General features: G+C 52.9%; 1 protein-coding gene across 4 annotated transcripts in view, besides 1 other annotated feature; it reads left to right on the forward strand.

The window, feature by feature from the left end:
- Positions 1–15,884, forward strand: part of SLC12A3 (solute carrier family 12 member 3) — a 50,644-nt gene that overhangs the window by 16,819 nt on the left and 17,941 nt on the right. For 2 of the 4 annotated variants that reach the window (NM_000339.3, NM_001126107.2), the window contains exons 13-22: positions 371–472; positions 2,024–2,179; positions 3,240–3,339; positions 4,339–4,450; positions 4,928–5,068; positions 5,900–6,006; positions 8,249–8,331; positions 10,058–10,135; positions 10,928–11,029; positions 12,506–12,617. In NM_000339.3, the coding sequence (NP_000330.3) occupies positions 371–472; positions 2,024–2,179; positions 3,240–3,339; positions 4,339–4,450; positions 4,928–5,068; positions 5,900–6,006; positions 8,249–8,331; positions 10,058–10,135; positions 10,928–11,029; positions 12,506–12,617 (1,093 nt within the window). The remainder of the gene's footprint in view (positions 1–370; positions 473–2,023; positions 2,180–3,239; positions 3,340–4,338; positions 4,451–4,927; positions 5,069–5,899; positions 6,007–8,248; positions 8,332–10,057; positions 10,136–10,927; positions 11,030–12,505; positions 12,618–15,884) is intronic. The other 2 variants (NM_001126108.2, NM_001410896.1) reach the window with 1 other exon arrangement.
- Positions 10,640–11,371: an enhancer, noted in NCBI's record as "H3K4me1 hESC enhancer chr16:56926577-56927308 (GRCh37/hg19 assembly coordinates)". NCBI's record gives its function as "activates a minimal SCP1, AML or CMV promoter by ChIP-STARR-seq in primed H9 embryonic stem cells {active_cell/tissue: H9 hESC(primed)}" and the evidence as "EXISTENCE:reporter gene assay evidence [ECO:0000049][PMID:30033119]".

Consider the following 15,884-nt stretch of genomic DNA (forward strand, 5'->3'; position numbering starts at 1 on the left):
GTGACAGAGCGAGAGTCCGTCTCAAAAAAAAAAAAAAAGAAAAGTATTTCTTGCTGTCATTTGTGGTCAAAACAGTGTGACAGCCACTACCCTTGGTCATCCCATAGCCTGATGGGGTCTACTCTCACACTGACCCCCACTGTCTTAAAAGCTGGGCGCTTACAGTTTACAAGACACCATCCCTTTGAGCTTCACAAAAGGATGGACCCATCTCACAGATGAGGTGGACCCATTTCACAGATGAGAAGGTTGAGACTGACTGAGCCTTGGTGGCCTGTCTGGGGTCCCCCACCCTGGGAAGGAGGGTGCCAAGCCAGTCCTTGGCAGAGTTGCCCAACAGGCTGTCCTCTCTCTCCCTGGGTCCCCGAAGCTGAGCTCAACACCATAGCCCCCATCATTTCCAACTTCTTCCTCTGCTCCTATGCCCTCATCAACTTCAGCTGCTTCCACGCCTCCATCACCAACTCGCCTGGTAAGCAAACCCTTCACCCACCTCAGGAGGAGGCACCCAGGGGGCAGGAGGAACTGGGGCATGGGGTGGGAGTGGGAGGCATGGGTGGAGGTTGGCAGCCCAAGGTCACCTCTCAATTTAAAACCATTGAAAGGGAACATTAATATAATAATAGCAGCTCTCGGCTGGGCTCGGTGGCTCATGCCTGTAATCCTAGCATTTTTGGGAGGCGGAGGTGGGCGGATCACTTGAGGTCAGGAGTTTGTGACCAGCCTGGCCAACATGGTGAAACCCTGTCTCTACAAAAACACAAAAATTAGCCAGATGTGGTAGCGGTCACCTGTAATCCAAGCTATTCGGGAGGCTGAGGCAGGAGAATCACTTGAACTGGGAAAGGGGAGGTTACAGTGAGCAGAGATCGCGCCATTGCACTCCAGCCTGGGTGACAGAGCAAGACTCTGTCTCAAATAATAGTAATAATAATAATGATAATAATAATAGCGGCTCTCCTTTCTCGCGCACTGACAGTGTGCACTTTACATGGATTCATACATTGCTTACCATCTGTAGGGGTTTTCCAGTCTTTTCCTTCCCCAGTTTTACAGGAATCAGGAGCCTGGTTCTTCAGAGAAAGAGAATTGCCCAAAGTCACAGCTAGGGCTGTCACAGACAGTGCTGCAGGTTGCACACTGCATAACTCTAGGAGGCACCATTCATATCATAGATTTCATATATTTGCATGTTTATGATGGAAAACTTCTGGCAGATGGCAATAAAGAGGCTTGAGGAAGACTTTTTCTTTCTTTTTTTTTTTTTTTTTTTGAGACGGAGTCTGGCTCTGTTGTCCAGGCTGGAGAGCAGTTGCACGATCTCGGCTCACTGCAAGCTCCACCTCCCGGGTTCATGCCATTCTCCCACCTCAGCCTCCCCAGTAGCTGGGATTACAGGCGCCCACCACCACGCCCAGCTAATTTTTTGTATTTTTAGTAGAGACGGGGTTTCAGCATGTTAGCCAGGATGGTCTCGATCTCCTGACCTCATGATCCGCCCGCCTCAGCCTCCCAAAGTGCTGGGATTACAGTTGTGCCTGGCTGAGGAAGACTTTTTCTAACCAGCTCCAAATTGCCATTGTCTTTTACTAGGCCACCTTTTACATAGATCCCAATGTGTATGATGGCCCTGGAGTTGCACCATGAGGCAGCTGTCACTAGTGGCAGCCCTGGCCTGACCTGCTGGTGGGGAGCCAGGCAGAATCATGTCCTTCCCCCTCCATCTCACCCCCTTGGCACCATGGGAGCTGGTGCTGTTGCTGACATGGGATGTCCTGTGGCTGTATTTGGCCAGAGCTGGATGCTCCTGGTGAAATGCCAGCCAAAGCAGGCGTGTGATTTGCCCCAGAGCCTGTAGACCCAGCCCAGGAGGCAGGGTGGGTGGTGCTCATGGCTGGTGGGTACAGGCTGGGACCCCGGCTCTGGGCACTGCTGGCATTACTGCCAGGCCCTGCCCAGCAGCTCTGGCCTAGAAAGAGGCTCGACTGCCAGGCATGCCCACTGACTGGTGCCCTTGGCCCAGGGTGGAGACCTTCATTCCAATACTACAACAAGTGGGCGGCGCTGTTTGGGGCTATCATCTCCGTGGTCATCATGTTCCTCCTCACCTGGTGGGCGGCCCTCATCGCCATTGGCGTGGTGCTCTTCCTCCTGCTCTATGTCATCTACAAGAAGCCAGGTGCGCATCTCAGCTGCGGGGCCTCGGCCCTCCTCCCCCAGGGTAGCCATGCAGGCGGCCCTGCCCTCCGCCCCAGTTGGAGGGCCCTGAGTCCGGCTCTGTGCTGTCCAGGGCCCCTCTCTGCCCCTCCCCTTTATCCCTCCCAATGTGGCAAGAAACCCCAGGGGATGTCCCCACTCAGGGCCTATGTCTCGACCTCTAAGCCACCCCTGGGCACCCAGGACCCTGGAATCCCCTGTCCGAAGGACCCTGAGTGAGCTTCCAGGGCCTGCTTCAGCCTCTTCCCTAGGGCTGTCCCCCAAGAGGGGCCAGCAGGCTGCTGTGCACACCTAGGCCTCAGAGGTGGCTGAGGGCTGGTTGTGTGGATGGCAGGCAGACAAAGCTTGGACTCCGGGCAAGGTCTCTACTTGGCTGCAGGCAGGGACCCTGGGGTGGCAGCGACCTGAGGGCAGGAAACAGGACTCTAAGAAAGCCTGGGATTCTAAGTGTCAACCTGGGCTTCTAGGCCATTGCAAAGGTTTGGCAAGGCAGGAGGATATCGTGTGGAGCTTGAGGTGTAACTTTTTTGTGGGGGGACTGGGGTGCAGTGTCTCATTCTGTCACCCAGGCTGGAGTGCAGCAGCACAACCTCGGCTCACTGCAACCTCCACCTCCCGGGTTCAAGCAATTCTCCTGCCTCAGCCTCCCGAGTAGCTGGGATTACAGGTGCATGCTACCATACCTGGCTAACTTTTGTATTTTTAGTAGAGACAGGGTTTCACCATGTCGGCCAGGCTGGTCTTGAACTCCTGACCTCAGGTGATTCGCCTGCCTCGGCCTCCCAAAGTGCTAGGATTACAGGTGTGAGCCACCGTGCCTGGCCTTGATGTGTAACTTTTCAACGTGCAGCCACACAGTCCGCAGGCCTCCACCTTGCAGGCTGCCCATCCCAGGTGGCCCTGCTCCCACGGGTGCCCGGTGCCTAGAGAAGGCCGACATTACCTCTGTCCCTCCACGTGTCTGGTTTCCTCTAGTGATTCCTAACTCTGCTCTCACCCCCGTTGCTCCCTTGCTCTCCCAGAGGTAAATTGGGGCTCCTCGGTACAGGCTGGCTCCTACAACCTGGCCCTCAGCTACTCGGTGGGCCTCAATGAGGTGGAAGACCACATCAAGAACTACCGGTGAGCAGAGCTGCTGGGACCCACCTGGGACCCCAGGGCCAGTGATGGCTCCACCCTGGGAGTTTCCAAGCCTAGACCTGTCACCTGACCCAGGCAGACCCAGGGTATGTGCAGCCTCCACTCAGAGAGGGAACAGACATGGAGGAGCCACCCAGCCACCACAAGACAGGGGTGGACATATCCTGATGGGGACCAAGCAAGTCAAGGGGCCTCTCCATGCCTTGGTTTCCACAGTGGAAACGTGCTTTGGTGTTGAGGTGATTGTTGCTGCAGCTCCCATCACAGTATCGCCGGAGCCAATGGTGACGAACCTCCCCTGGGTACCCTTCAAAGCTCATTCCCCTCTTTGTAGAGGAGGTTTATGCACCTGCCATCCTCTTCCCACCAGATCCTAATAATTATTGGCAATATCTATTTATGTCATGCTTACTATGAGCCAGGTGCTTGCAAAGTGCCTTACACAGCCTTACAAGAACCGGCTGAGGTCCAGGAAATTACTAACCCAGTCCCAAGAACACTGAGGCACAGAGAGGTTAAGTAACTGGCCCCAGGTCACACAGCTGGCAAGTGGCCGATTAAGTCTGGCTCCAGTTGACTCAGGTCATGGCCCTTGACCACTGCCCTCTGCTACCTCTCGACGCAGAGGCTGAGTCACCTTCCCGGGTAACTGATGAGTTTGTAAGTGACAGGTTTCCTCACTCCCAGGCTTTGTTCTTTCCCCCACCATGCTGGGCTAGGCAGGGCAGGGGACATGCATGGGGGGTAGCATTTTGTGGCCTGAGCAGGAAGGACCAGGGAGACTAGTGTGGAGGTCACCAAAAGAGCAGGAAGAGCCCCAAAAGTCACCCTGGATTTATAGGTGGGAAGCCGAGGCCCCAAGCATGTAGGGTCATGCTGGTGGCCACACCACCATTCAGGGAGCCTGGGAGGTGCCTTTCGCACCCAGACCCCCGTGGGCTCTCTCCTGATGGCTCCTGCCCTTTTCCCTTCCCTCCTCAGCCCCCAGTGCCTGGTGCTCACGGGGCCCCCCAACTTCCGCCCGGCCCTGGTGGACTTTGTGGGCACCTTCACCCGGAACCTCAGCCTGATGATCTGTGGCCACGTGCTCATCGTGAGTGGCCCCTGGAGGGGCACAGGGGACCAGGCATGGTGGCTCATGCCTGTAAACCCAGCACTCTGGGGAGCCAAGACAGGTGGATCACCCGAGGTCAGGAGTTTGAGACCAGCCTGGCCAACACAGCTCCTGGGGGAGTCGCCTGGGTGTGATGTCCACCCACAGAGTGGGGGCCGAGGGGATGCGGAGCAAGGGGCACCCAGCCAGGCACCCCCCATGGACCCCATTCTCTCCCCTTCCTGGCCCCTCTTGCTGGCTTCTCCCCCAGCTGCCCTGCCTCTTTTCTGCCCCCTCCCTCTCCCTTCCTCCCCACTTTCTCCCCCACTCCTTGTGTTTTCCCTTATCTGGGCAAAAGAAAAGGGCACCGTGGGTGCTGCCAAGCCCCTGGGGCAGCCTCCAGGGCAGGAGAGGGGTTGAATCTCAGGCTGGAGGGTGAAGGCAGCTGGTGATGTCCCCTGCCCCTCCCACCCACAGGGACCCCACAAGCAGAGGATGCCTGAGCTCCAGCTCATCGCCAACGGGCACACCAAGTGGCTGAACAAGAGGAAGATCAAGGCCTTCTACTCGGATGTCATTGCCGAGGACCTCCGCAGAGGCGTCCAGATCCTCATGCAGGTGCCATGGACTGGGGGCTCCCCTACAGGACTTACGGCTTGGTGGCACAACCTGGAAGGCAGAAAGTCTTGGCGGCCCCTTTGCTTAAGCCCCTTTTGCTGCAGAAGGAGCCCCAACTTTTTTTTTTTGAGACTTGTTTTACTTGTCACCCAGGCTGGAGTGCAATGGTGTGATGTCAGCTCACTGCAATAACCTCCGCCTCCCGGGTTCAAGTGATTCTCCTGCCTCAGCCTCCTGAGTAACTGGGATTACAGGCACCCACCACCACACCCGGCTAGTTTTTTTGTGTTTTTAGTAGAGACGGGGTTTCACCATGTTGGCCAGGCTGGTCTCTAACTCCTGACCTCAGGTGATCCACCTATCTCAGCCCCCCAGAGTGCTCGGTTTACAGGCATGAGCCACCATGCCTGGCCAGAGCCCCAACTTTCTTATGTCTCCAGATGTGCTGGTTCTGGGCACTTTCTCGGAATGCCCAGGACCTGGGAAACTGACTTGGAAGCCTGTGGGGGCTTGTGTCACCTTGGCCAATTCTAACTCTTGGGGGCACTGGGAGGGATGTAGGGTGTTGGTGACCAAGCGAGAACTAGAATCGAGGATTCTGGAATTCAGATATTTCCTCCCATCAGTCATCTTTCTCCCAATAAAGTTTTGTTTTGTGCAAAACAAAAATTTTTAAGATTATATATATATATATATATATATATATTTTTTTTTTTTTTTTTTTTGAGAATCAGCACATCTGGAGACATCAGAAAGTTGGGGCTCTGGCCAGGTGGATCACCAACTCTGCCCCTCTGATGGGTTCCCCATCTCACCCCTATCCCCTGGCAGGCCGCAGGTCTCGGGAGAATGAAGCCCAACATTCTGGTGGTTGGGTTCAAGAAGAACTGGCAGTCGGCTCACCCGGCCACAGTGGAAGACTACATTGGCATCCTCCAGTGAGTCGGGGGAGAGGAAGGGGCTTGGGGTCTGTTAATTTGGGCCCATTGGGCCTTGAGAAGTGGAAAAGAAGTAGTGGGTGCTTAAAAAGTTGAGTCCTGCTGGGCAAAGTGGCTGGCATCTGTAGTCCCAGCTACTTGGGAGGCTGAGGCAGGAAGCTCACTTGAGCCCAGGAGTTGAAGGCTGCAGTGAGCAAAGATTGCACTGCTGCACTCCAGCCTAGGCGAAAGAGCAAGACCCCATCTTTGAAAAAGAAGTTGAGTCCATTTTCTCAAAGCTAAAGAAGAAACACGCTGAGGCTGAAGATGCCCGTCTCTGACCTGTGAGTCATGGACACCAAAGCCAGCTGGGGCCAGGCAGGTAGCACCATGAGTGAAGTGGGCCAGGCCAGGGGTGATAGGGAGCAGTGGAGACTGTGGCAACCCAGAGAGAGTGGCTCCTACTTGGCTCGTGTCCATGCAGAATGGGCTCTAGTGCCCGTGCAGAAATGTGGGCCCAATGTTGCCAGATCTTTTAATTTTTTTTTTTTTTTTTTTTTTTTTTTGAGACGGAGTCTCACACTGTTGCCCAGGCTGGAGTGCAGTGGCGCTATCTCGGCTCACTGCAAGCTCCGCCTCCCGGGTTCACGCCATTCTCCTGCCTCAGCCTCTTGAGTAGCTGGGACTACAGGCGCCCGCCACCACGCCCGGCTAATTTTTTGTATTTTTAGTAGAGACGGGGTTTCACCGTGTTAGCCAGGATGGTCTCGATCTCCTGACCTCGTGATCCGCCCACCTCGGCCTCCCAAAGTGCTGGGATTACAGGCGTCAGCCACCGTGCCCGGCCACCAGATCTTTTAATTTTTCAGAGTAACTGCAAATGTGAGTTTTTAGGTGAGAACCTCATGCCTCCCTGTGGGCTCCAGAAGGTGCACAGGGAACCAGCTCAAGAGCTCTGAGGCGGTGCCCCTGAACAGGGAAGTGAAACCAGGACCTGAGGACGGAACTCCCTGGGGACTTCAGGGCTGACTCCAAACTCTTCATCAGTGCTTGCTGTGTGATGTCCAGAGATGCCTCCCTCAGTGGCTTTTCTGTGTTGATGTTGTTGTGTGAGGTATCACTGAACAACATGAGGCTGAGGGTTGGGGCCCTGAGACCTGCTTCCAGGTATGCTGTTAACCAGCTGTAGGACTCGGAGCAATCCTCTCAGCAGGTGCTAACAGAATTACAGCAGCAACTGATAGAATACCTGATCTCCAGCCTCCCTCCAGCTCCAACATTCCAAACCTTCAAAAAGCAGGGCCTGAAAGTTCCTTGTCCTGGAGATATGTGATCTAAGGAGCCCAGGGAGGGCAGTGCGCAGCCCATTGGCCCAAACCCCAGTGGTGGGCGGGCTCTTGGGCACTGTGTCAATCAGGCAGTACATACACCTTTGGAACAAGAGTCTTCCAGACATCTTTAATTATTTTATTTTATTTATTTTTGAGACAGAGTCTTGTTCTGTCGCCCCGGCTGGAGTGCAATGGTGCGATCTTGGCTCACCACAACCTCTGCCTCCCAGGTTCAAGCAATTCTCCCTCAGTCTCCCAAGTAGCTGTGATTACAGGTGCCCACCACCACGCCCGGCTAATTTTTGTACGTTTTAGTAGAAATGGGGTTTTGCCATGTTGGCCAGGCTGGTCTCGAACTCCTGACCTCAGGTGATCCGCCTGCCTTGACCTCCCAAAGTGCTGGGATTACAGGCGTAAACCACTGCGCCCGGCCTCCAGACATCTTTATAGACAGCCTATTGCAGGAGTAAAGCTCCTCTCATGAGCATGTCTGTCCTTTGGTCCACAGTCTCAGCCATGTGATTCTAATCCCAGCTGCTCACTCCCTTAGCTGTGTGACCATGGGCAAGTTACTCTCCAAAACTCAGTTTTTGCATCCATAGAATGGAGGGAATAATTACCATCCCCACCTCCATGGGCAGAGTTGAGTTGTGGGGGATTATCCAAATGTATCAGGAGGACAGGGCTGACTTGGTTCCCCTGAGTACCGGATCTGCAGGATCCACAGTGCCACAGACTGTAGAGCTGGAGGAGTCCTGGGGTACTCTCCAATTCTGCCTGTACAGGATACAGATGGGGAAACTGAGGCCCAGAGAACAGAAAGGGCGTGGTAGGAAGCAGAGCCAACTCTAGATATCTGGTCTCCTGGGTGCCAGGTCACCTCCCCAGTGGGAGCTGGGGGAGAAGCTGGACCTCACCTCCTCTCTTTCCAGTGATGCCTTTGATTTCAACTATGGCGTGTGTGTCATGAGGATGCGGGAGGGACTCAACGTGTCCAAGATGATGCAGGCGCACAGTGAGTACATGCCCCACCCACTCCCAGAAAGTTCTAGAACACATTTTTTGTTTTTAAATGGCAGAGGGAAAAATGAGTAAGAAATAAAAGGTTACAGACTCATAGAAAGTCGCCTCTTAATGGTCCCTTAGAGCCCATCAGTTTTCCCAGAAAGAGAAAGCAACGCATTCAAGGTCATGCTTCCCAGGTGGGGCAGAGCCAGGACTGGAACTCAGGGTTCCCCAAATCACAATTGGGTCGGGGCAAAAGGATCTAATATAGGCCGGACATGGTGGCTCACGCCTGTAATCCCAGCGCTTTGGGAGGCCAAGGCAGGTGGATCACCTGAGGTCAGGAGTTCAAGACCAGCCTGGCCAACATGGTGAAACCCTGTTGCTACTAAAAATACAAAAATTAGCTGGGTGTAAGGGTGGTGCACACCTATAATCCCAGCTACTTGGGAGGCTGAGGCAGGAGAATCACTTGAACCCAGGAGGTGGATGTTGCAGTGAGCCAAGATCGCGCCATTGCACTCCATCCTGGGTGACAAGAGCAAGACTCCATCTCAAAAAAAAAAAAAAAGATGTAATAGAAAACCAGGAAAGAGGGGAGAGGAAAATGCCTGCAGGAAGATGCCAGAATATGAAAATACATAATGACCATGGGAACCGGGCATTTTGGTCCACTGAGTAGGGATGTGTTTTGCATTTTAAAGTCATATATGACTGCAGACTCTGAATTAGAAATATTTAGAGAGGCTGGGTGTGGTGGCTCGTTTCTGTAATCCCAGCACTTTGGGAGGCTGAGGCAGGTGGATCGCTTGAGTCTAGGAGTTCAACACCAGCCTGGGTAACATAGCAAGACCCCATCTCTACTAAAACAAAAAATTAACCAGGTGTGGTGGCACGTGTCTGGAGTCTCAGCTACTTGGGAAGCTGAGATGGGAGGATCGCTTGAGGCCAGGAGTTTGAGGCTGCAGTGAGCCGTGATTGCACCACTGCACTCCAGCCTGGCTGACAGAGCAAGACCCTGTCTCAAAAAAAAAAAAAAAAAAAAAAGGAAATATCTAGAGGTGTGAAAGCAATAACGTGTATGGCAACAAATGAGAGGCAGTGCTGGAGAGACTGGGAGCTTGGAGTCCGCGTCTCTTGCAGCCAGGAGCTGGGTCCGTTCATTTGTGCCATTGCTGAGGGCATGTCTGGCACACGGATGCCACCAATATTTACAGAGCAGTAACTCCACTCCTGACCAACGCTGCTCTTGGTGCTGGGGTTACAGGCACACCAAAAGCCAAAAAGCCTCTGCTCTTGAGAAGCTGACGCTCCAGAGGGAAAAGCAGACACTTGCCAGTGGACCCATAAGTTATTTCAGATTGTGAGAGTGTCTGGAGAAAACGGGTGCAGGGCGTAGTGGCCAGGGAAGGCCTCCCTCAGGAGGGGGCCTTTTGCTGAGGAGGCCAGGGCTAGGGGAAGTATGTTCCAGCTCAGGGCGCACCCACCGCCACGGCCCAAGGTGGGGATGAACGTGGCCTGTTTGAGGGGCAAGAGGAGGCCATGCGCGACTGGAATGTGAGGAGCCGGGCAGGAGGCAGGTCAGAGGGAGGCCAAGGCCAGGTGCAGTGGGGCTGTGGAGGCCAGGTGGGGCATCGGGACTTTCTTCCTAGCATTAAGGGAGCCCTGTCAAGGAGGAACCCACGGTGCCCTCAGACAAGGAGAGCCTGTGAACAAAGCTGCCTCTTCTTTTGCAGTTAACCCCGTGTTTGACCCAGCGGAGGACGGGAAGGAAGCCAGCGCCAGAGGTGCCAGGCCATCAGTCTCTGGCGCTTGTCAGTGTTCCCACTCAGAGCTCAGGGCACTCTAGCCCTGTGGGGTGGCTAGGGGTGGGCCACTTGGGAACTTGGTCGAGGACAGGTGGTTTTTTCTTGTGACGGTGGTGCCTGAGTAACTGGAGTTGGGAACTGGAGGGGCTTGGCCGTGTCAAAGATTGCCAGCAGCCAGGCGCAGTGGCTCATGCCTGTAATCCCAGCACTGTGGGAGGCTGAGGCAGGAGTTCCAGGCTGCAGTGAGCTGTGACCGCACCACTACATTGCCAGCCTGGGTGACAGAGTGAGACCCTGTCTCAAAAAAAGAAAAAATATTGCCAGGAGGTGGAGAATTCAGGGTCACGGCATCATGGGGACCCACCTAGCAGGCTCTGGGGCCCTTGTCCCACCCCTGCCAAGGCCCCTCTAGCCATGCAGGGTGGGGTGGGATTTTCCTTCGTCCTCTCCCACCATCACTCCGGGAGACAGGGGGCCTGAAGTGCAGGCGGGAGGGCTGCTGTGGGCATTTGTGAAGGGTGCAGGAGGTGTTTAAGGGAATGGAGAGTGCACTTCCCTACCTACCCAGAGGGCTCTGGGACTGCCCCCACCCCCAGTACTCACCAGAATCCCGGGAGAGAGAAGCTGAAAGCAGGGCAGGGGCACATCACAGCACTGAGCGTCCTGGGCCCCGGTTCCTGTTCCACCTGCCAGAGAACCCGTGTTCAACATCAGAAGGGGCGTTGGCGGGGCCCTGGGCCAGGCCTGCCTGGATGCGCGGCTGCTGGCTCTGCTCTGACCCGCCCCCACCTCCTGCAGTGGACCCCAAGGCCCTGGTGAAGGAGGAGCAGGCCACCACCATCTTCCAGTCGGAGCAGGGCAAGAAGACCATAGACATCTACTGGCTCTTTGACGATGGAGGTCAGTGACCCCCTTGGATCAGCCCTCCTGCCCGGCGGGGGCGGGGTGGTGGTGGTCTTCCTTCCTTCTCCTTCCTGGCCTGCTCTCAAAGGGGACAGGGGCTCCTGGGCCCAGCAGTGAGCTCAGGGGAGCCCAGAGGGACCCCTCTGTCTGGCCTCTAGTTTTTTGGTTATAAAATGGGAAGCTTTGAGAGAAGAGCTGAAGTCGCCATGAGATGGAAACTTCTGACTGGATGGCCCTTAGGGGCACAGGCAGGTGATATAAATGGGGAGATGGGCGGTGCCCAGGAAAGCTGGAGGAATATTTTTCACTTCACAATGAAATATAACCTCTCCCATTAAAAAACAAAAAAAGTGACTTTAAGCTTTATTGCTCCTACCTTTGATAGAGTCACAGATAGAAAGAAAATGTCTTCGCTCCAATGGAACGAGTCCTATTAATAACTGCCAAAATAGGCTGAGCACTTACTACCTGGCTGACAGGGAATTCCCTACCTAATCCAGTCCCCAGGTAGGAGCTGTCATGATTAACTCCGCTTTATAAATAAGGAAAATGAGGCACAGAGGATTACAAGGTGATATGTGACAGCTGGCCCTTGGTCTTGTGTGGAGAGACAACAGAGAGGGATGAGGGCTCCCACACGCTGGTCAAATATTCACTCTTCAAGAACTGCCAATGACCTCGATTTTTATGTGAAACTCCTCAATTATTAAATGACTTTTGTTTTTTATTATTCTTTTTGAGACGGAGTCTTACTTTGTCGCCCAGGCTGAAGTGCAGTGGCATGATGTCGGCTCACTGCAACCTCCGCCTCCTGGGTTCAAGCGATTCTCCTGCCTCAGCCTCCTGAGTAGCTGGGACTACAGGCGGCTGCCACCACACCCAGCTAATTTTTGTATTTTTATTTTTATTTTTATTTTATTTATTTATTTATTTATTTATTTATTTATTTATTTATTTATTTATTGAGATGGAGTCTCACTCTGTTGCCCAGGCTGGAGTGCAATGGTGTGATCTCGGCTCACTGCAACCTCTGCCTCCTGAGCTCAAGTGATTCTCCTGCCTCAGCCTCCTGAGTAGCTGGGATTATAGGTGTGCACCATCAGGCCCAGCTAATTTTTTGTGTTATTAGTAGAGATAGGGTTTTACCATGTTGGCCAGGTTGGTCTTGAACTCCTGACCTCAGGTGATCCACCTGCCTCGGCCTCCCATAGTGCTGGGATTATAGGCATGAGCCATGGCGCCCGGCCGCCAGCTTGTTTATTTAAATATGCTGCACAAGCACAAATAAACCCTACCCCACAGAGCACCGTGTGCGACTTGAATTCAGTCAGCCATGTTCATTATACAGATGGGTCGACTGGGGTCCAGCGAGGAGAGGAAGGGGTTTGCTAATGGCAGAGCGGGGCAGGAACTCACATAGTGCTCTGTCCTGAGTGTATTCTTGTCATGACTCACGGGGACTCTCCTTGCCAGGCCTCACCCTCCTCATTCCCTATCTCCTTGGCCGCAAGAGGAGGTGGAGCAAATGCAAGATCCGTGTGTTCGTAGGCGGCCAGATTAACAGGATGGACCAGGAGAGAAAGGCGTAAGTGTGGAGGGCTGGCCTGGGGGTGACTGCAGGGACCAGTGTCATCTTAGCTCCACCCAAGGCTGTCCCCTACCCTAGATCCTCTACCACCACCCCCAGGTGGGCACTGAGATTGTCCCAAAGCCCAGGGCCAGCTCTCTCCAGGCCATGGCAGTGGGCAGGAGCAGGAGCAGGTTTCTCTCCATTCCAGAAGTTGTTCTGGTTTCCTGCCCCCTTCAATAAATGCAGATGCCCTAGGCTTTGCTACGACAGGGAGGGGAGTTAGGTTGTAAAGTCACAAATCTCTGGGTTTGGATAACAAGAAGCATAAAAATAAGAAAGAAAAGGAATCCATTTTTTAAATTTAAAGTTAAGAAAAGACAAGAAAAATAGAAAAAAAAAAAGATAAAAAGAAAAACAAAAAACAAATCTCCTCCAGGAGGAACCTGTATGAAATGAAGGATGGGCTGGGCCAAGGCAGCTGGATCCAGGAGTCCAGGAGTTCGAGACCAACCTGGGTGACATGGCAAAATCCTGTCTCTATGTTTTAAATTTTTATATATTTTAATTTTTTTTTTTTTTTTTGAGATGGATTCTCACTCTGTCACCCAGGCTAGAGTGCAGTGACGCAATCTCGGCTCATTGCAACCTCCGCCCCCTGGGTTCAAGCAATTCTCCTGCCTCAGCCTCCCTAGTAACCAGGATTAGAGGCGTGCGCTACCATGCCCAGATAGTTTTTTTGTATTTTTAGTAGAGATGGGGTTTCGCCATGTTGGCTAGGCTGGTCTCGAACTCCTGACCTCAAGTGATCCACCCACCTCAGCCTCCCAAAGTGCTGGGATTACAGGTGTGAGCCACTGCCCCCAGCCAATATTTTAAATTTTTATATAAATATTTTATATATATTTAAAAATTTATATATAATTTTTTGAAAAAAGGAAATGAAGGCTGGAGAACACGCCTCCTCCTGAGAAATGAAGTAGGGGCTAGAATCCTTTAGGGCATCAGTCCCCAACCTTTTTGGCACCAGGGACTGGTTTCGTGGAAGACAATTTTTCCACAGGCTTGGGGGAGAGTGGTGGTTTTGGGATGGTTCAAGCTCATTACATTTATTGTGCACTTTATTTCTATTATGATTACATGGTAACATATAATTTAAAAATGATACAACTCACCATAATGTAGAATCAGTGGGAGCCCCGAGCTTGTTTTCCTGCAACTAGATGGTTCCATTTGGGAGTGATGGGAGACAGTGACAGATCATCAGGAGGGTTCATGGCCCTCTAAGATCCTGCAAGAGGGTTTGTGGCCCTCTAAGAGTCTAATGCCACTGCTGATCTGACAGGAGGCAGAGGTCAGATGGTAATGAAAGCGATGAGGAGCTGCTGTAAATACAGATAAAGCTGCATTCACTGCCATGCACCCGGTTCCTAACAGGCCATGGTCAGTACCTGTTGGCAGCCCCGGGGGTCAGGGGCCCCTGCTTTAAGGCAGTGTCTCCAATGCATGGGATGCAGACTCTGGGTGAGACAAGAGGTGACTTTAGTGGCCAGGGGTTGAGGCAGCAAATACCACTGAGTCTTTTGGTGAGAAGTGCCTTTTAATTCTCCTCCAATTCTGGGGCTGATTCTGCAGAAAGTCCTGGTTTAGCCTTGGCCCGTCCTTCCCTTTGGTAACCTGTGCTTGTCTCCCGGAGCAAGAGGAGTAGGCTGGATGCATGGGCTTGGCAGGCAATGGCATCTGGCCAGAACTTAGTGACCCTGGTTTATCGACATGGGTTTTATTGGACACCTCTCCCTGGCAAGAGGTGCTGGTTTTCTGTTTAAAATTGTGATGTTGGCTGGGCACAGTGGCTCTGCCTATAGATCTTGGCACTCTGGCAGCAGGCCAAGGCAGGGGATTGCTTGAGGCCAAGGGTTTGAGACCAGGCTGGGCAACATAGTGAGAGCCCATCTCTACCAAAAAACTTAAAAAAAAAATTAACTGTGAATGGTGGCATGTGCCTGTAGTACTGGCCACTTGAGGCTGAGGCAGGAGGATCACTGAGCCCAGATCAAGGCTGCAGTGAGCTATGATTGCACCACTGCACTCTAGCCTGGGTGAAAGAACAGATGCTATCTCTATTTTTTAAATAATAATATTTTATCATGATATAAAATTTCCCTTTGAAATGTATCTAAGTTTGGTCCAGGCGTGGTGGCTTATGCTTGCAATCTCAGCACTTTGGGAGACCAAGGTGGGTGAATCAGCTGAGGTCAGGAGCTCAAAACCAGCCTGACCAATATGGTGAAACCCCACCTCTACTAAAAATACAAAAATTAGCTTGGCATGGTAGCATGTGCCTGCAGTCCCAACTACTCAGGAGGCTGAGACAGGAGGATTATTTACACCTGGGAGGCGAAGGTTGCAGTGAGCCGAGATTGTGCCACTGTACTCCAGCCTGGGCAACTGAGCAAGACTCCATCTCAAAAAAAAAAAAAGTATCTAATTCAGAATGTGAGTTGGTTTAAAGAGAAAAGGAAGTAAATAGTAAGGCAGGTGGCACACAAGTATGGAGTTGACAGATGTCGGCAGGTGGAATTGGGCAGCTGCTGCTTTGAGCAAGTTCAGGTGAGGTGGGAGGTGGTAGGCTGGAGGTTGGCTGGAGGATACAGACAGATGGGGCAGTTTGCCCAAAGTCATCCAATTAATTAGCCAAAGAGAAGAACCCCTGCCCGGTCTCTAGTGCCCTTTGCAACTATCTTGGCTGTGATGCCCCAGGGTCAGAGTAGGAGGGGATCCCCCAGCCTACACCACCCGGTCCTATGCCAGGATGGCCTCCCGTGCTCCATTCTCTATCACCCGCAGTGTGAGTTAAGGGAAACCCAGCAATCCTATCACTTTGTCCTCACCCCCACTAAGAACTTTCTCCTGGGAAAGCCCCTTTTCTGCAATGCTAAGGAAAGTGTTGCTTGGGAAAAGCAGCATCTGCCTTCTCTGTGATCTCCAAAAAGTAAATAAGATACGAGATTGCTCTGCAGTCTCTGCTCCCTGTCCTGGCTCTGAATGGAAGCTGGGTTCAGTAGGTTTGGTATAGCTCAAGGCTATGGAAGCCTGGGCTAACAGCATGTCCTTGGTGGGAAGGTTAGGTAACCCTTCCTCTGCCTCCCTCTGTCCCTTGGTGGGCCGCATCCTCTGCTCTCTACATAATCCTGGGGCAAGTCTATGCTGCCCTTGCCTAGGCACTGCCCAGGCCTGCCAGCCTCCGCTGCTACTGCACACCAAGACAAATCTGCCCACGGCTCT

The sequence above is a fragment of the Homo sapiens genome, chromosome 16 (assembly GCF_000001405.40).
Source record: "Homo sapiens chromosome 16, GRCh38.p14 Primary Assembly".
In the NCBI taxonomy this organism is placed as follows: Eukaryota; Metazoa; Chordata; class Mammalia; order Primates; family Hominidae; genus Homo; species Homo sapiens.